Source organism: Homo sapiens, chromosome 9, assembly GCF_000001405.40.
Source record: "Homo sapiens chromosome 9, GRCh38.p14 Primary Assembly".
NCBI classification, from domain to species: Eukaryota; Metazoa; Chordata; class Mammalia; order Primates; family Hominidae; genus Homo; species Homo sapiens.
Window position 1 is genome coordinate 133,043,328 of NC_000009.12, and position 18,646 is coordinate 133,061,973.

Here is an 18,646-nt window from a genome sequence, read left to right on the forward strand (position 1 = left end):
ATCAGCCTCACCTGGGAGCTTGGTAGAAATGCACCAGGTCAGAACCTGCATTTAGCAAGATCCCAGCAGATTCATATGCATGTTACTAGGTTGGTGCAAAGGTAATTGCAGGTTTTACAGTTAAAAGTAACATTCATCTAAGAAGCACTGACCTGGACTCCATCCTCACCTATCATGTAGCTCCCCACCTCCCCAAAATAATTTTCATGTAAGTGACTTAGACTGCATGGAGCCAACTTTGCAGAGGCATTTGGGAAGGGTGTGTTTTCCTGCCACCCTCACCCTGCAGCCTCCACCACATGGCCCACTCAGCACCTCCCTAAGCAGATGTGGGTGTCGGTGTGTGGCAGCTGCCCATTCCTGGACTCAATGTCTGCCATCTGCCCACCTCTCTTTCTAGGGATGTCTGACTTCCAGTACTTGGCTGTGCATACGGAAGCAGGCGGCAAGCATACGTCAATGTATGACAAGGTGCTCATGCTCCGGCCCGAGAAGGAGGCCTTTTTCCACCAGGAGCTGCCGCTCTACATCCCCCCACCCATCTTCTCCCGGCTGGACGCCCCGGTGGACTACTTCTACCGACCAGAGACCCAGCACCGGTAAGGCCCCCCTCCATGCAGCCTCGGTTCTCTATCCTGAAAATGGGATGGTCCGGGCACGGAGGCTCACACACTGGGCGTGGTGGTGCACACCTGTAATTCCAGCTACTCGGGAGGCTGAGGCTGGAGAATCACTTGAACCCAGGAGGCGGAGGTTGCAGTGAGCCAAGATCGCGTCACTGCACTCCAGCCCGGGTGACAGAGTGAGACTTTGTCTCCCAAAAAAAAAAAAAAAAAAAAAAAGAAAATGGGATGACAGTAGTACTACCCAACAGACGTATTGGGATTGAATTTAAAAAGTGTGTGCAGTTCTCAGCACAGGGCTGAGTACAGAACAGGGCCTTAGTAAGCGGTGGCCTGTGTGATCGCCAGGTTGGCCTCAGTCCTGAGGACAGTGCAAAGAACGTGACTGTGGGACATGTGGGTTCCTGCTGAGAAATGTCCTTTGGCTTAATCCCCTGGTCATTGCTGACCAGCCAGTCTCTGGACCTTGCTGTCACTAGTAATGACACTACCTAAGCAAGCCTCGTGGGAATGTCCCACTCTCTGACCCCAGCTCTTTCCTACTTCCTTTGCTCCCCATGGCCTCACCGTCCCTGTCCGTGGCGGAGATTTTGCAGCCTCTTTATCATCTGTCCCTGCCCTGCCCTCCTCTCTTTGCCACACTCACCTGCCAAGCCTTGGTCCTACTTCACCCCAGCTGTTTACCCTTTCCTGGTCTGCCCTGTGCGGCTGGAGGTCGCTTCAGAGAACCCCTGACCCTGCCCATCGCCCAGTGCCATCCTTCTCAAGGCATCTGTGACTCTACACAGCTCTCGCCTGCTCTGTACTTGGTTATGGACTGCGTCCCCTCCAGAACACGGTGCCTCTCCTGAGGACAGGCGCTCACTCTCTCTCATCAGTAGTGGGTTTCTCCTACACCGAGAGCTATGAAAAGCCACATGGACGTGACTCATAGTGCACCCACCGCCACCCCCTGCCACCCACACACAGGCTCCGTGCACAGCCTGCCCAAGCCCACATGCAATTCAGATGAAATGAATTCTGTAACTCAGAGGTTCTTGACATAATTAGAGACCTCAGCGGCTGTTGGAAAGGCAGGCCTGGGCATTGTCAAATGTAGTCAAATTGTCAAATGCCATACATTGACATAAAAGAATAGGATTTCCTTTATATAAAATCCAAGATTGAATACTGTGAAAACAAAATGAAGAAAACAAGTTTGACAGTATCCAACTGGGGATGAATAACATTGACCAGCCACACTGCCAGTTATTTCACGTCCCTGTGCAGCAGCGCTGTGAGTGCATCTCACCCAAGCCTGGGAGCAATTCCCCAGGGTTCCTGACACCCCCATCGTACACATGAGGAAGCCGAGACATGGGGTCAGCGCCACGTCCCGCCGGCAGCACCGCCCTGGTCTCTCCCACTCTGCAGGCTTTGCTCGTGGCCCAGTGCCAACGGTGTCCTGATTTTTGTATGCTCTACTTTCTAAAATGACGCACAAAAAGACAACATGGAAAAAAACTTTGCATTGTAATGGATGCTCCCCAGAAGTAGCGACTTGGCCTGCTTCGGTCTCTGTCATAGCCCCGGTGCCCAGAACAGAGCCTGGCCTGTGAGAGGTACTCAGCAAGTGTCCATGGGCCCCACACAGATTTAGGGGAGCAAGATTACTGCCAACAGATGAGCAAAATGAAAGGGCCTTTTTTTCTTTTTCTTTTTGAAAGGCGGAGTCTTGCTCTGTCCACCCAGGCTGGAGTGCAGTGGCGCGATCTTGGCTCACTGCAACCTCTGCTTCCTGGGTTAAAACAATTCTCCTACCTCAGCCTCCTGAGTAGTTGGGACTGCAGGCGCCCACCAGTACGCCCAGCTTATTTTTGTATTTTTAGCAGAAATGAGGTTTCACCATATTGGCCAGGCTGGTCTCGAACTCCTGGCCTCCAGTGATCCGCCCACCTCAGCCTCCCAAGGTGCTGGGATTACAGGTGTGAGCCACAGTGTCCAGCCCGAAAAGGACTTTGAAAACTGGGCCAGAGGTGATGGTGTTTGTTGAATAATTGTTCCATAGCATGTTTTAAGCTTCCAAAAATGCAGCCCTCAAGAGAATGGGCTTGGGCCTAGTGTAGTGGCTCACACCTGTAATTCCAGTGATTTGAGAGGCTAAAGTAGGAGGATCACTTGAGGCCAAAAGTTTGAGACCAGCCTGGGCAATATAGCAAGACTCTGTCTCTACAAAAAAAACTAAAAAAGTTAGCTGGGCATGGTGGCGTGCACCTGTATAGCCCTAGCTACTCGGGAGGCTGAGGTGGAAAGATTGGTTGAGCCCAGGATTTTGAGGCTGCAGTGAATATGATCACACCACTGCACTCCAGCCTGGGTGACAGAACAAAACCCTGTCTCAATAAACAAAACAAAAAACAAACAGAAAAAAGAGCGGACTCTGTGGACTGATGGGACCCATGCCCAGGTGCCTCCCTTGCTCTGTGAGAAAGGCAGGTGCAAGACCAGATTCTGTGGAATAGAAATAAATGGTGGTGTGATAACAGAAGCCTAGAAAAGTCTGGAAGATTTGGGGCTCAGAGCAGTTTTCTTTGAAGGGGTGGGAGGGCTTTCTCATTCCTCATTATGTGTTTCCTTTATGTCCTGACTGAGCACCTGTGGTGGCCCAGGGCACTCCCTGGAGCCTGGTGTCCACGGACAGCACAGCAGCTGGGGTGCAGTGCAGGGGCGGGGAGCTAGACGGAGCATGAGTACATGGCTGGGAGCCTTAAAGGAGATCATGGGGAGTGGGCCACACTGGTGGAAGGCAGTGGGCCGGGGCTACAGGTAGCAGCGAGGGCCCTCAGAGGAGCTGACATCTGGAGCTGAGACAGAGCCAGCCAGGTGAAGATCCAGGGAGAACTTTCCAGACCAGGGGATTGGCGCATGCAAAGGAAGGCTGGGGAGGCTGCTGTGCCCCAGAGCAGGTGAGCCAGAGAATGGGGGTGGGGAGTGAAGACCAGTGCCTAGGCTTCATCCTCAAGAGAGAGTGTGTTATTCTCTGCCTCCGGAAAAGCATTGCAGAAAGGTGGAGAGAATTGGATTGTCTAGTAGCCCCCACGTGCCCATCAGGAGCGTCCAGTGAGCAACATTCTGCTCCTCTCCACCCCCAGTGGCACAGTGCTGCCTTCAGAAACAAGCAGTGCGGATCTCTGACAGGGAAGACTCATGTTTCAGACAGACTCGCAATACCAGTCTCCTACGCAACAGAATTAATAGCACTCCCCAACATCACCCACAACCAGTCCTTGTTCACTTTTTCCCGATTGTCTCAAAAGCCACTCAGGAGCCAAACAAGGGCCACACATGTTGCTTTTGGTTGCTGTCCCCTAGTCTGTAACATCCTCTACCACCACCACCCCCTACTTTTTTCTGATTGTAAGAATAAATTGTACCTGTTAGAAAAAAACAAAACATTGTGGAAATGTATTAACTAAAAAGAATCAAGTCACTTTGCCTCCCTGCAGAAAACTGTTGCACATAGAATGATACCATTTTCTGTAAGTGTATTGTACTCACTATAAGAGTTTGAAGCAGGGGGTGACATGATCCTTCCTTTTTTTTTTTTTGGAGACGGAATTTCCCTCTTGTCACCCAGGCTGGAATGCAGTGGCGCGATCTCGGCTCACTGCAACCTCTGCCTCCCAGGTTCAAGTGATTCTCCTGCCTCAGCCTCCCGAGTAGCTGGGATTACAGGTGCGCGCCATCACGCCCAGCTAACTTTTGTATTTTTAGTAAAGACGGGGTTTCACCATGTTGACCAAGATGGTCTCAAACTCCTGACCTCAGATGATCCGCCTGCCTCAGCCTCCCAAAGTGCTGGGATTACAGGCGTAAGCCACCGCACCCAGCCTATTTTTTAAAGTTACTTATTGGCCAGGCATAGTGGCTCATGCCTGTAATTCCAGCACTTTGAGAGGCTGAGGTGGGAGGATCGCTTGAGCCCAGAAGTTTGAGAACAGCCTGAGCGACATAGTGAGACCCTGTGTCTACAAAAATTTTTTTTAAATCACCCAAGTGTGGTGGCACGTGTGCCTGTGGTCTCAGCTACTTGGGAAGTTGAGATGGGAGGATGGCCTGAGCCTGGGAGGTCAAAGCTGCAGTGAGCTGTCATTGTGCCACTGCACTCCAGCCTGGGTGACAGAGTGGGACCGTGTTTTAAAAAAAAAAAGTGGTTTTTTGGTTTGTTTTTTCTTCACCACAAGCAGCATACTCTTGTCAGAAACAAAAATACATAAAAGAAAACAGACTGGGCACGGTGGCTCACACCTATAATCCCAGCACTTTGGGAGGCCGAGGCGGGTGGATCACCTGAGGTCAGATCAAGACCATCCTGGCTAACACAGTGAAACCCTGTCTCTACTAAAAATACAAAAAAATTAGCCAGGTGTGGTGGTGGGCGCCTGTAGTCCCAGCTATTTGGGAGGCTGAGGCAGGAGAATGGCGTGAACCCGCGAGGCGGAGCTTGCAGTGAGCCGAGATCGCGCCACCGCACTCCAGCCTGGGCGACCGAGTGACACCCCATCTCAAAAAATAATAATATACAAAAAATTAGCCGGGCGTGGTGGCGCATGCTTGTAATCCCAGCTACTTGGGGGGCTGAGGCAGGAGAATCGCTTGAACCCAGGATGTGGAGGTTGAGGTGAGCTGAGATCGTGCCATTGCACTCCAGCCTGGGCAACAAGAGTGAAACTCCATCTCAAAAAAAAGAAAACAGCACTTGTCAGCACTGCCGCCCCTGGCACTAGATGGCAGCAGCATCTGAGTTACTGCTCTGCCCTGTGGGCCAGTGGGAAGCTGTTTCCAGCCCCTGGGGTAAAATGAGGGAGGAGGGCCAGCTGCCCTCGGGCCCCAAGGCCCCCCTCCCTCCCCATGTGGTTTATCAGTTTCCAGCACCTGGAAAGAACCTGCATTTTCTCCCAGGGCTGCTGTCGATTCTCCTGCCCTGCTCACGTTGCTGGGTGCATGAGGACTGGCAGGGAGGAGACCTAGCCACTGCCTCCTTGGCCCCTTCCTGGGGAGATTGAGCTTCCCACAAACCAGGTGGGCAAGCAGAGGCTGCTGGGTGGCCTGACGGGGTCGTCCTAACTGGAGGATGGTGGGTCCCTCCTGTTCCTCAGGGACTCTCCAAGGTGGTCCTGTTGACTTTGCCATCAGCACCCTTCGACCCCTGCCAGCAGTTCCCCACCTACTTAGAATCATGGTGACACAGACCACAGCCTGAGGCCACCATGGGGAGCGGTCTGGGGATGCAGCCAAGGCTGCCGCAGCCTCTCCCTACAGGGTTGGGCACAGGTGGGCTGCTCTTGCAGGTGACCACCCGGTTTTCCTGGGGAACATCTTTGAAAACGCGATAGTGCTGACCTGTCCCGTGCGGTTTCTAACGCAGGCACTTTAAAAAGAAGGCCCAGGCTCGATCCCGTCTTTCTAGTTTTGTTTCACAATGTGAAAATTACTGCTATTCTTTGTAAGTGTGCAGATGCTATGTACTCATGTAGAAAACTAAGGTAAAATGGAAACACATTTTAAAAGGTAATGATCACCCGAGTGAATTTGATGATGTCCGAGACCTACTTTAAGATGCACTTCGATGAAATGCAGTTAACCATGTGCTGATCATTGCTGAAGCTGGTGACGGGCTTGTGGGGGTTCTTTACACTGGCCTGCCTGCTTTTGTGTCAGTTTGGTGTCCAACCTTAAAGACGTAACTACTACAAATATTTTGAGAAATACCTACCTAAGGGTGTTCTGTGCCAACATACAGAGGTAGTTCTAGAATCTCTGCTTTGTATGTGTGTGTATGTGTTTTAAGACTTTATTTTTTTAGAGCAATTTTAGAATCACAGCAAAATAAGGCGCAGCGATTTCTCCTATGCCCCCCAGCCACCCCCACTCAGCCTCCCCCGTGATCAGCATCTCAGTAGAGTGGGGCGCTTGTTACCAGTGGATGAACCTATGCTGAGACGTCGTCACCCAGTGTCCGTAGTTGACATTGGGGTTCCCTCTTGGTGTTGGACATTCTATGTGTTTGGACAAATGGAACCCTTGGCTTTAACCCCTGTGTTTCATGACAATGCCATTTGGTGAGGTTCTTTGTTCATTCATCTACATGTGGTCGAGATGCTTGTGAGCCAAAGAGTCATGCTCTGTTGGGTGGCAGGACAGGTGTGTGATGGGACCTTTGCAGCCAGCCTTCTCGATGGGAGTCCCAGCTCCTTCCCAGGAGCTCCGTCTCTGGGCAAATTTCCCAGTCCCTGTGGTTTCAGCTGCTTTATTAGAAAATGGTCCCTTCTCTGTAGGATTAGTTTGAGCGTTAAATAAGTGAATCGCATGTAAGCAGATGTGAGTGAGTGCAGCTCTTGTCCCTGTTTTGACAACGGATTGCGTTCTCTCATGCAGCTGTGCTGGGTGATTTCACCATTGCCAGCTGCTGGACATTAGACTCTGTCCAGTTTTTCACTGGCTGGACAGTGCTGTGCCTGACTCAGTGCACTTTTGGGGCCACCAGCCCCATGACAGGTGCCCTTTCCTGCACTCCAGCCTCTAGGACCTTTTGGCCTTTCCCCAGTTTGAGAGCTGCAGGCCCCAGGGTTTCTCTGAGTTGTCATAGGCAGTTGTGGCTGCGTCTCTTCCTCTGTGAATACAGGTTCCTTTAGCAGCCAACTCTGGGGTCCTTTCCCAGCACAGATGTCCAGAGAGAGGCACACGGTGGCTGTGGGCCTTGGGGGGTTCTGGGCTCCCTGCCTGGTCTGGCCCAGCGGGTGCCTGGGATGGCCTTGGTGCTCCTGTTCTCACCTGTACTCTCTGCCCCCAGGGAAGGCTACAACAATCCCCCCATCTCAGGTGAGAATCTGATTGGCCTGAGCAGAGCCCGGCGCCCCCACAATGCCATCTTTGTCAACTTTGAGGATGAGGAGGTGCCCAAGCAGCCACTGGAGGCTGCAGCCCAGACGTGGAGGAGAGTCTGCACTAACCCCGTGGACCGGAAGGTGGAGGAGGAGCTGAGGAAGGCAAGTCCTGCGCTGCGCCTGGCCCCGGTGGCTCCAGCCTCTCTGTTGGCTTCCCGTGTTTACCCAGCTGCTCCCTGTTCCTGGCTGTGGGGTTGGCTGCACTGACCTTTACCCATTCCTTAGTGCATGGGAACTTCTCACCTTCAGATGCCATGTCTAAAGGCTGTGTCGGTATAAGTTCTACATTCCCAAGGTTGAAAATGCTTCTTAGAGTTCTTAAGAAAAATATGCGTGCGTTGTTCAGATGTGACATAAACGTGGAGCTCTGGGATCCACTGAGCTCTTATTCTTCCATTCACTCATTGCAGCCAAGCCAGTGGGGCACCTAGTGTGCCAGGCCCAGCACTTTCTTACCGTTAGAACTGGAACCGTGCTGCCAGGCAGCCCTCCTTCCCCGGGCTTGCGGGTGCCGTGGAGTCCTGCGTCCCCACTGGCATGAGCATCAGGTTCACAGGCCACTGCCACCTGGAGCCCGGCGCTTCCCTTACGCAGTGTGCCTGTGGGAGACCACGTGGATGTCTTGTTGATTTCCAGCAGTCACTGGGGCACACTGTCAGTGGCTCCTTATTGCCCACCAGGCACAGCCCACATTCCTGACCTGAATTGGCTCGTGAGGCCCGCTGCCCCAGCCCCCTGGCCCTCTACACTCCGGCCACACTGACCTTTGCAGTCCTCCCCGGGCCAGGCTGTCCCCTTCAGCCCTGACGATGTCCCACCTCAGGCACCTGTTCTGTAGATTGGGGCAGCATGGGGACCCTGGGACTCTAGCATGTGCCCCCTGAGCCGTACTCCCCACCGCGCTGTGGGCTCTATGAGGACAGCGACCATGTCTCTTATCGTTTGAGAGACCCAGCCCCACAACTGCACTTGGCACAGGCTGGGCATGCAGCCCAGGCTTCTGAGGGAAGGGATGAATTAGTGAGAGCAGGAGGTCCTAGGGCCACGCCCTGTGTGTCCAGCCCCTGTCCTCTACCAGCTCCTCTCTGGAGGGGCCGCTGGGGCCCAGAACATGTTGGGAGTTCAGGGCCGAAGGGTGGAAGCTGCTGGTGCTCATCTCAGCCTCTGCCCTTGGCCTCCCCAGCTGTTTGACATCCGTCCCATCTGGTCCCGAAATGCTGTCAAGGCCAACATCAGCGTCCACCCAGACAAGCTCAAGGTCTTGCTTCCCTTCATAGCCTATTACATGGTAAGTGTCAGCTGCCCACCCACCTGCCTTGGTTTCCACCCATGTGGTCCCTGGTCCCTGCTGTGATGTCTTAGAGCCACAGTAAGAGCAGCCAACCCCCTATCCTGGCTCCCCATCCTTCCTGCCCCACCCCCATCCTGGCCCATCCTTCCTACCCACCCCTGGCCTGGCCCTCATCCTTCCTGCCCTGCCCCCAACCTAGCACCTCCCCCGTCCTGGCACCCCCATCCTTCCTTCCCCCCTGTCCTGGCCCCCCGATCCTAGCATCCCTAAGACAGCTTATTAAAGCCAGCTAGAAAAGTTTCAGCTCCCTGAGTCCAGGGCGCCCTCCACAGCCTGTTGGGCTGCAGAACCCAGCCCCTGACCACAGCGGCCCCATGTCGTCCTCTACCTGTGTTGAGTGGGGTTCAGTGGGAGGCAGATCCACCTTTGATCCACAAGCATGTAAAGACACATGTCATTACTGAGGTTCCAAAGGTGCTGGTTGGAAAGGGATCCTCCCCGCTGCCAGGCCTCACAGAGCATTAGGGGAGGCCAGCGTAAGACATGACTGTGAGGGTCTGCAACAGGCAGTAGGACACAAGAAAGACTCATTTCTTCTGCCTTGTTGGACTTCCGGCTCAGGAGAGCGACCTGTGCTGCTTGGCGTTGGCATTTTATTTTATTTTATTTATTTTATTTATTTTGAGATGGAGTCTCACTCTGTCTCCCAGGCTGGAGTGCAGTGGTGTGATCTCTGCTCACTGCAACCTCCGCCTCTGGGATTCAAGTGATTCTCCTGCCTCAGCCTCCTAAGTAGCTGGGAGTACAGGCGCACGCCACCATGCCCAGCTAATTTTCTTTTTTTGCATTTTTAGTAGAGATGGGGTTTCGCCATGTTGGTCAGGCTGGTCTCGAACTCCTAACCTCAAGTGATCTGCCTGTCTCGGTCTCCCAAAATGCTGGGATTATAGGCGAGAGCCACTGCGGCTGGCTGGCATTGGCTTTTTAGACATAAGCCATTCAAAAGCTCCGTTTAGGGACAGAAGATGTCTCATCGATTAGGCCAGTAGTAACATTGGGCACTTAATATGTGCCAGGAACCATGGTAAAGGCTCCACGGGCGCTATCTCATTTAATCCTCTGAAAAACCATGGGAGGCCAGGCATGATGGCTCACTCCTAGAATCCCGGTACTTCGGGAGGCTGAAGCGGGAGAATCGCTTGCATCCAGGAGTTTGAGACGAGCCTAGGCAACATAATGAGACCCCATCTCTACAAAAAAATTAAAAATTAGCTGGGTGTGGTGGCTCGTGCCTGTAGTTCCAGCTACTTGGGAGGCTGAGGTAGGAGGATCACTTGAGCCCAGGAGGTTGAGGCTGCAGTGAACCGTGATTTTGCCACTGCACTCAGCCTGGGCAACAGAGTGAGACCCTCTCCCCCAAAAAACAAAAACCCACAGGAAAGGGTGCTCCTTTTCCCTCCATCTGACAGGAAGACCAAGGTTTGGAAAGGCCACGTGCCCTCACCAAGGTGACAGGGCCTGCATGTGGCAGAGCAGGGCTGGGCATCCAGAGCCCTGTCCCCAGCTCCTGAGCTCTTCTGCTGCCTCACTGTAGGCTCTGGCCCGTCCAGGGACCTGGGCCTTCACCTCACCTCACATTTTCCCCACTTTTCTGTCCCAGATAACAGGCCCCTGGCGCAGCCTATGGATTCGATTTGGGTATGACCCCCGAAAAAACCCAGATGCCAAGATTTATCAAGTCCTCGATTTCCGAATCCGTTGTGGAATGAAACACGGTAAAAATTCCTGAAAGCTTTGCTTCCTGCCTTTCTCTCTCTTTATCTTTCAGTTTCTAGCATTCTCTTTTGTAGTAAGAATCTTTTCATTTGGAAAGAATAAAAAAACCTTTTGCCCCCGTTGCTGAGACTCTTTTGAATGCAGAATGGCGTGGAAACGAAAGTCCTAGTTCTGTGCTGGCCCCACCACTGACCGCCCGTTTCTGAACCACAGTCCCTCATTAAGTGACTCCACGTGCCCTATGGTCCTGTGATGCAGGCCAGGCACTTGTGAGAGCATCAGTGCCCGCCCTGCCTGGGAAGTGCTGAGATGTGTTGGTGACCGCAGTGGCGTGCTTGGCAGTCTGGGGTTGCCCTCTCAGGAGCTGGCCCCATGGACCCAACTCCCATCTCCAGTGTGAAGCCAGTGTTGTGTGCCGACGGGCCCTGTGCCCGCCCACCTGACTTGCCCGCCCTCGCCTACAGGTTACGCCCCCAGTGACTTGCCGGTCAAAGCAAAGCGCAGCACCTACAACTACAGCCTCCCCATCACCGTCAAGAAGACATGTAAGCGTGCCAGGCGCCTTTTGTGGGTCATGAGTGATTTGCCAAGGAAGGCGGGGCACCTGGACCCAGACGGGGAGGTGGTTCCTGGGGGTCACTCCAGGGCTCTGCCGGTCATTCCTCCCCTAGGAGGGGGTGGGCTGGCAGGAGGGCAGGGCATGGTGGTTGGGAGAGACACCTCCTCCCCACCCTGCACATTCCAAGCACTGCTGTTGTCCCCACGCAGCCAGCCAGCTTGTCACCATGCATGACCTGAAGCAGGGCCTGGGCCCGTCGGGGACGAGTGGTGCTCGGAAACCAGCTTCCAGCAAGTACAAGCTCAAGGTGGGCGCCCCTGGAGGCCAGGAATGGAGGGGAGGACTTCCCTCTTGGGGCCGGGCACCTTGTGGGTGACACCTGGGGGGCTGTGATTAGGGCAGCTCTGCCCACCGGGGCCTCGGCACCTTGCTTCCTTTTAGGTCAGCCTTCAGACACTGAGGGTGAGAACTCGGGTGCAAAGCCCCAGGGCTGTGTGTGTTGGGGACATCTGGCGAAGAGGTGGTGACAAGTCTCAGGGAAGTCTGGCACCAGCAGCTGCATGTGGTTGTCCTTCTCGAGCCCTTTGGGAGCCTGGGCCCCCACTGAGCCACGTGACCACTCCGGGAATGATCGGAATTGGGCACACACAGGAGGACAGAGCCAGAGCAGGCCATGTGGGCTGCAGCTGTGGCAGGAGCCTCACTGGCTCACGTTTCCGTCAGTGCGGTTGCCCAGCGGGGGTTGGCGGTTTCCAGAGCTGTTCCCACATTCAGGCTCCCGCAAGCCGCTCCACAGCCCTGGGGGAGGCCGAGAAGGGGGCATCCCGCACGGTGGAATCACCTGCTGAGGGAGTGGGTGGCAGAGATGAGTGCAGCAGAGACGGGTGATGCGAGGGACTTGCTGTCCCCCAGTGTCTGGGGCCCTGCCTATTTTCTAGGTTTTTTAGACCTTTGCTGCCTTCCCAGTGAGGGGCGATCATGCCACAGCCTGTGCGGCCTTCCTTCTCGAGGCCTCTCCTAGGAGGCCGTTATCCTTACTCTAGAACTACATGGCTGGGTACGGAAAGGAGAGAGCAAACACTCACTAAGCCCTGCTTTTCCCAGAAAAGATGTCAGGGCAGCCCATAGGGGGACATAGGGTGACAAATTAGCAGCAGTGGGTGAGGGATAAGGTCAGAGTGCAGGAGGGCACAGAGAGCAGAGCCCGGCACAAGGCTAGTGCCAGCCCCATGCCATGGGCGCCATGGCCTGCTGCACGGGCGGGCTCACCGTTTCCAGTGGCCCCAGGAGGGCCTGGGTGCTCCTCTGCCTCTCCCAGAGCCTCCTGGGGAGTTGGACATTGTTTTTTCCCCAACTCCTCCGTGGCCTTCCAGCCTGTCTGCCCAACCTGCTCCTGGTGACCAGCCAGCTCCCTGGAGAGACCCCATGGGAGCCTACATGGAGTCTGCAACACTGGCAGCCCCAGGGCTCTGGCTCACCTTCCCTGTCTCTCTCCCCCTTTGTCACCAGGACTCTGTCTACATCTTCCGGGAAGGGGCCTTGCCACCCTATCGGCAGATGTTCTACCAGTTATGCGACTTGAATGTGGAAGAGTACGTATGGGAGGGGCCCTGAGACACTGAGGGGGGCCCGTGGGACCCAGGGACCAAAGCGGTCTCTGAACTCTTCCACTTCACGTCGGCCTTCATCTCCGGCAAGAGCACTCGCCTGTCTGGGAGTTTGGTGCTGCCGAGAGCCCTGGCATGCTGGTGGCCCTCGTAGAGGCGGTGCCCTATAGAAAGCCGTGGCTCCAAGCTGCGCAGAGACAGTTCTTACTGTTATGTCCTTGCTCCTCTTCCACTGTCCACATAAAGGCCCCATGAGGTGGTTCTCAATCCCAGGACCCATCAGATCCCAGAAACCTTTTATCGACTTGTTCTCAGTGATGTTTAAAGAATTGCAGGGAAAGGGCACTCACTGGGATGAGAGGAGATGGGAACACATCAAATACATCTTGAACTCTGCTGAAAGCCATGGTTCACCAGAAGCATGTGCAGTGGTAACACGGCCAGCTTCATGTGTGTGAGGCGGTCCAGGGAGCACACAGGTTTAGGGCCCCAGCTGGGAACACACAGCTTGTGTTTCCAGTTCCTCTCTGTAGACTTCGCTCACGGGGCTGCCTTTGATCTCAGTACAGCTCTGCCTCTGGCAAAAACCAACACTGGCATCTCTTAGCAGAGACCCGCCCTGGGACTTTATGTCCCAACCCTCTCCCCACCCCCAGGTTGCAGAAGATCATTCACCGCAATGACGGGGCAGAGAATTCCTGCACAGAACGGGATGGGTGGTGCCTCCCCAAGACCAGCGACGAGCTCAGGGACACCATGTCCCTCATGATCCGGCAGACCATCCGCTCCAAGAGGCCTGGTAAGAGCCGCTTGGGGTAAAGGGGGTCCAGGATGCCTGGTGATCTCCTTTGAGACAGAGGTGTCCCTAAGGGGACCCATTCCTGGGAAATGGCACCCAGGTGGCATCATCTTGCCCCTGGCCCTGGTGGGAGGAGGACATTGTGAGCCAGAGCCCAGCCCAGGTGCTGGCATCACCCCAGCTGCCCAGAGGCTGCCTCAGCCGAGGCCCTCAGCCCTGCGGTCCGGGGCAGGAGACAAGCCCAGAGGGGCTGGGTGCAGCAGCCTGGCACTGCCATCGGGGCCTCCACCTGACGCCCTCACACCAGCCCATGTCTTTCAGCTGTGCATGCGCAGGCTCTGCCTCTGTCTTCTTCCTGTTCTGTGTGGCCCAGCCCCTTCCTGGAACCAGGCAGCCCTGGCAGGAGTGAGGGCCAGCTGCAGGGAAAGTGAAGGGGGCAACACCTGCCAGGCTGTGGGTCTCACGAGGCTCGGGGGAGTTATAAGAGGCCCCCTCTCTCAGGGAACTCCTCCCAGGCTTGGGGAGGAGGCATCCTGGACCCAGCCACGCCCCACAGATCTGACCGAAGCAGGGGTTCTTGGTCTTGCTTGGAACCCAGATTCAGCCCCCTTTGGGAATCTAATCAAGGGTGTGGACCCTTTCCCAGAGAAAATGGTGTGTTCACTCCTGAGGGTCCATGGGCCCTTGAAGCTGCTCATGGCTCCCCTGCTGCAGGATTCCCCTGGGTGCCCGTCAAACTACAGCTTCCCTGGGGGGCCTCCACCCCATACTTACCCACCAGCTTCTTAAGAGCTCGAGCTCGGACCCTTATAGTAGTAAACAGGCTCCCCAGAGCCTGGTGGCCTTTCTGGGGCCACCCGGCAGCCTGCATGGGACACCCATGGCCTTGTCTCCTCCGGCCCCAGCTCTCTTTTCCAGCTCAGCCAAGGCTGATGGCGGAAAAGAGCAGCTGACGTACGAGTCTGGGGAAGACGAGGAGGATGAGGAGGAGGAGGAAGAGGAGGAGGAGGACTTCAAGCCATCCGACGGCAGTGAAAACGAAATGGAGACAGAGATTCTGGACTACGTGTGACAGGGCCCAAGGCTGGGCCTCCCTGACCCGGCCAGACTGGTGTCTGGCCTAATGAGGGAGCCGGGGCTCCCCATTGCCACCCACAGTGCCCGGAATGGCCCTAGGAGGCCCTCTGAGGAGAGCTAGAGTCCCAGCAAAGGGTGCAGCTGACCCTAGCACTGGCTGTGACATGCTGCTTGGTGCTGCCTCTGGTCCTGAGGGGTTAGGGACATCCCCAAAGGGTATACCCTGGCTCTGCCACCCATGAACCAGCCCAGCATCCAGCCAGTGAGTGGGCACCCAATGCCTCTCAGGATGAGACCAGTAAATGCCGGAGGTGGAGCTGGGCAGCTGTGGAGCCCCAGGCCACAGGCCAGTCTCGCTTGGCTCTCATGACTGTGGTGGTGGAGATAGCGTGGGGAGCCTCGCCCATGGTCTCACGTGGCAAGAAGTGCCTTTAGCTCTGGATCCCAACCGTTTGGCACAGCTTTGGCCACAGCCAGGCCCCTCTGGAATTGTCCTTATTAAACCAGTTTCCCGAGAAGTCTTGGTTTCTTGGTGTGAATGTTGGCGCTGCAGGGGAGTCTTCTTATTGCCTTGGGGCTTGGGCCCCCTTTGTCCCTTCATATATTCCTTCATTCATTCCTTCATTCATTCAGTGACATGCTGGCAGTGCTGGCCTGTGCCCCCCTCACATGTGGTCGGGTTGGGTGAGGGCAGCTAGGAGGACTCCAGGCCTGGGGTCAGTTCTTCTCTAAATGAATACCTTCTTGACAAAGTCATGGGAAACGGGCCCTGCTGTCCTGTGGCTGCCCAGTGTGAAACTAGTGGGTCCTGAGCCCACCGAGCCTGCCTGCCTGGCCCCGCTCCCCATGTTGCCCTTGGCTGAGGCACCTCTTGTGTCTCCCCAAGTCGGCAGCAGCACTCCCTCCCAACCTGTGTGCGTGCCGAGTATTTGTTGAAGAAACAGTCAGTTGTCAGAGAATGGCCCTGTTCTGGATTGGCTGGTTGCTTCTGTGTGGTGCTGAACCTGCTCCTCTCTCCCCTGTATTTCCTGGGGACAGGTGGAGGCTCAGCCAGATTCGGGTTCAAGGTCTCTTCCTAGGCTGCGTCAGTCTGCATGCACGGGAGGTCTGCTTACTAGGATTGACCAGCAGGTTTAGGTGTTGTCAGCCTGATGTGTTGGTCTTTTATCTAACGGTTTTTGGGTTTCTGTGGTTTTTTGTTTCATTTGTGGGTCTTTTTTTTTTTTTTGAGATGGTCTTGCTTTGTCACCCAGGTTGGAGTGCAGTGATGCAATCAGGGCTCACTGCAGCCTCAACCTCCTGGGCTCGGGTGATCCTTCCACCTCAGCCTCCTGAGTAGCTGGAACTACAGGTTGTGTACCGCCATGCCCAGATAATTTTTGAATTTTTGTAGAGATGAGGTCTCACTAATGTTGTCCAGGCTGGGCTCAAGGGATCCTCCCGCCTCAGCCTTCCAAAGTACTGGGATTACAGGTGTGAGCCACTGCGTCCAGCCTATTTAATGGCTTTTGAATAGCCGTTGATAATTGCCTGGACCTACTACTTCCTTAAGGGTGCAAAATGGTGATTTTTTTGAATTATATCGTTCCCTCTGCATTTAGTAGCTGGAATCCTATAAAGGAATCTTCCTCATCGTCTGTTTGATTACCCTGAAATACTATTTTCACAGAAAAGAAGGGAAAATGCCTGTTATCACCTCTAACAGTTTTCAGAACAATGAGTTAGTGCCCTGGCAAGGGCCAGTGACAGGGCAGGAGGGGGTGGAGAGCGTGTTTCCTGGGCTGCCTGGTGAACTCTCACGTCTGTCAATTGCAGGCTTGCTTTTTCATGCCCAACTTGTCTATCTTTGCCCAGAGGCGGCCTCAGGTTGACCTCTGTAGTCCTTTGACACAAGCCTTGGGTCTTGGGCACCTTCCTTACTTACAGCTACCACGATGCTGCAGGCTCCAGCCCCTCCCTGGCATTTCCTGTTGCGGACCCGGCCCAACCATCTCCCCAGGGTGCACTCAGTCGGTGTGAATATGGTGTTTAGAGACCCCAGTCTGGTCACCAGGGGTGGGGCTTGCTCCTGGGATTTCGTTACTGCTAGGGCTTTGGAAGAGACAGAGCCAGGAAATAAGTTTTTTTTTTTTTTTTTTGCCAATTTTAAAAAAATAAAGTATGAGGCTGGGCACGGTGGCTCATGCCTGTAATCCCAGCACTTTGGGAGGCTGAGGCGGGCAGATCACTTGAGCTCAGGAGTTTGAGACCAGCCTGGCCAACATGGTGAAACCCAGTCTCTACTAAAAATACAAAAATCGGCTGGGTGTGATGGCGCACGCCTGTAATCCCAGCTACTTCAGAGGCTAAAGCAGGAGGATCCCTCGAACCCAGGAGTTCAAGACTGCAGTGAGCTATGATTGTGCCACTGCACTCTAGCCTGGGTGACAGAGACCCTGTCTCAAAAAAACAAACAAACAAAAAACCTCTGTGGACTCCGGGTGATAATGACATGTCAATGTGGATTCATCAGGTGTTAACAGCTGTACCCCCTGGTGGGGGATGTTGATAACGGGGGAGACTGGAGTGGGGCGAGGACATACGGGAAATCTCTGTAATCTTCCTCTAATTTTGCTGTGAACCTAAAGCTGCTCTAAAAATGTACATAGATATAAACTGGGGCCTTCCTTTCCCTCTGCCCTGCCCCAGCCCTCCCCCACCTCCTTCCTCTCCCTGCTGCCTCCCCTCTGCCCTCCCCTTTCCTCCTTAGCCACTGTAAATGACACTGCAGCAAAGGTCTGAGGCAAATGCCTTTGCCCTGGGGCGCCCCAGCCACCTGCAGGCCCCTTATTTCCTGTGGCCGAGCTCCTCCTCCCACCCTCCAGTCCTTTCCCCAGCCTCCCTCGCCCACTAGGCCTCCTGAATTGCTGGCACCGGCTGTGGTCGACAGACAGAGGGACAGACGTGGCTCTGCAGGTCCACTCGGTCCCTGGCACCGGCCGCAGGGGTGGCAGAACGGGAGTGTGGTTGGTGTGGGAAGCACAGGCCCCAGTGTCTCCTGGGGGACTGTTGGGTGGGAAGGCTCTGGCTGCCCTCACCCTGTTCCCATCACTGCAGAGGGCTGTGCGGTGGCTGGAGCTGCCACTGAGTGTCTCGGTGAGGGTGACCTCACACTGGCTGAGCTTAAAGGCCCCATCTGAAGACTTTGTTCGTGGTGTTCTTTCACTTCTCAGAGCCTTTCCTGGCTCCAGGATTAATACCTGTTCACAGAAAATACGAGTCGCCTCCTCCTCCACAACCTCACACGACCTTCTCCCTTCCCTCCCACTGGCCTCTTTCCCTCCCCTTCTGTCACTCTGCCTGGGCATGCCCCAGGGCCTCGGCTGGGCCCTTTGTTTCCACAGGGAAACCTACATGGTTGGGCTAGATGCCTCCGCACCCCCCCACCCACACCCCCTGAGCCTCTAGTCCTCCCTCCCAGGACACATCAGGCTGGATGGTGACACTTCCACACCCTTGAGTGGGACTGCCTTGTGCTGCTCTGGGATTCGCACCCAGCTTGGACTACCCGCTCCACGGGCCCCAGGAAAAGCTCGTACAGATAAGGTCAGCCACATGAGTGGAGGGCCTGCAGCATGCTGCCCTTTCTGTCCCAGAAGTCACGTGCTCGGTCCCCTCTGAAGCCCCTTTGGGGACCTAGGGGACAAGCAGGGCATGGAGACATGGAGACAAAGTATGCCCTTTTCTCTGACAGTGACACCAAGCCCTGTGAACAAACCAGAAGGCAGGGCACTGTGCACCCTGCCCGGCCCCACCATCCCCCTTACCACCCGCCACCTTGCCACCTGCCTCTGCTCCCAGGTAAGTGGTAACCTGCACAGGTGCACTGTGGGTTTGGGGAAAACTGGATCTCCCTGCACCTGAGGGGGTAGAGGGGAGGGAGTGCCTGAGAGCTCATGAACAAGCATGTGACCTTGGATCCAGCTCCATAAATACCCGAGGCCCAGGG

The 18,646-nt window shown here is 55.1% G+C and overlaps 2 protein-coding genes and 1 non-coding gene across 9 annotated transcripts in view, besides 3 other annotated features; 2 read left to right on the forward strand and 1 right to left on the reverse strand.

The window, feature by feature from the left end:
* Positions 1 to 15,176, forward strand: part of GTF3C5 (general transcription factor IIIC subunit 5) — a 27,796-nt gene extending 12,620 nt beyond the window's left edge. For 2 of the 7 annotated variants that reach the window (XM_017015315.2, NM_001122823.2), the window contains exons 3-12: positions 401 to 599; positions 7,456 to 7,651; positions 8,733 to 8,837; positions 10,501 to 10,615; positions 11,081 to 11,161; positions 11,385 to 11,482; positions 11,617 to 11,637; positions 12,685 to 12,767; positions 13,439 to 13,581; positions 14,487 to 15,176. In XM_017015315.2, the coding sequence (XP_016870804.1) occupies positions 401 to 599; positions 7,456 to 7,651; positions 8,733 to 8,837; positions 10,501 to 10,615; positions 11,081 to 11,161; positions 11,385 to 11,482; positions 11,617 to 11,637; positions 12,685 to 12,767; positions 13,439 to 13,581; positions 14,487 to 14,653 (1,208 nt within the window). In that variant the 3' untranslated portion in view covers positions 14,654 to 15,176. The other 5 variants (XM_017015316.2, NM_012087.4, XM_047424081.1 and 2 more) reach the window with 3 other exon arrangements.
* Positions 5,418 to 5,487: a silencer, noted in NCBI's record as "silent region_20441". NCBI's record gives its function as "represses an Ori minimal core promoter by ATAC-STARR-seq in GM12878 lymphoblastoid cells {active_cell/tissue: GM12878}" and the evidence as "EXISTENCE:reporter gene assay evidence [ECO:0000049][PMID:35858748]".
* Positions 8,669 to 8,732, forward strand: MIR6877 (microRNA 6877). Its single transcript, NR_106937.1, has one exon. It is a non-coding gene; the product is annotated as a microRNA 6877 (primary transcript).
* LOC124902325 (uncharacterized) lies at positions 14,754 to 18,005 on the reverse strand. Its single transcript, XM_047424377.1, has 2 exons — positions 17,422 to 18,005; positions 14,754 to 14,847 (listed from the first exon to the last, which is right to left on the reverse strand). Exons 1-2 carry the CDS (start codon positions 18,003 to 18,005, stop codon positions 14,754 to 14,756), a joined length of 678 nt encoding a protein of 225 aa, XP_047280333.1.
* Positions 16,865 to 17,616: an enhancer, noted in NCBI's record as "H3K27ac-H3K4me1 hESC enhancer chr9:135935579-135936330 (GRCh37/hg19 assembly coordinates)". NCBI's record gives its function as "activates a minimal SCP1, AML or CMV promoter by ChIP-STARR-seq in naive H9 embryonic stem cells {active_cell/tissue: H9 hESC(naive)}" and the evidence as "EXISTENCE:reporter gene assay evidence [ECO:0000049][PMID:30033119]".
* Positions 17,617 to 18,369: an enhancer, noted in NCBI's record as "H3K27ac-H3K4me1 hESC enhancer chr9:135936331-135937083 (GRCh37/hg19 assembly coordinates)". NCBI's record gives its function as "activates a minimal SCP1, AML or CMV promoter by ChIP-STARR-seq in naive H9 embryonic stem cells {active_cell/tissue: H9 hESC(naive)}" and the evidence as "EXISTENCE:reporter gene assay evidence [ECO:0000049][PMID:30033119]".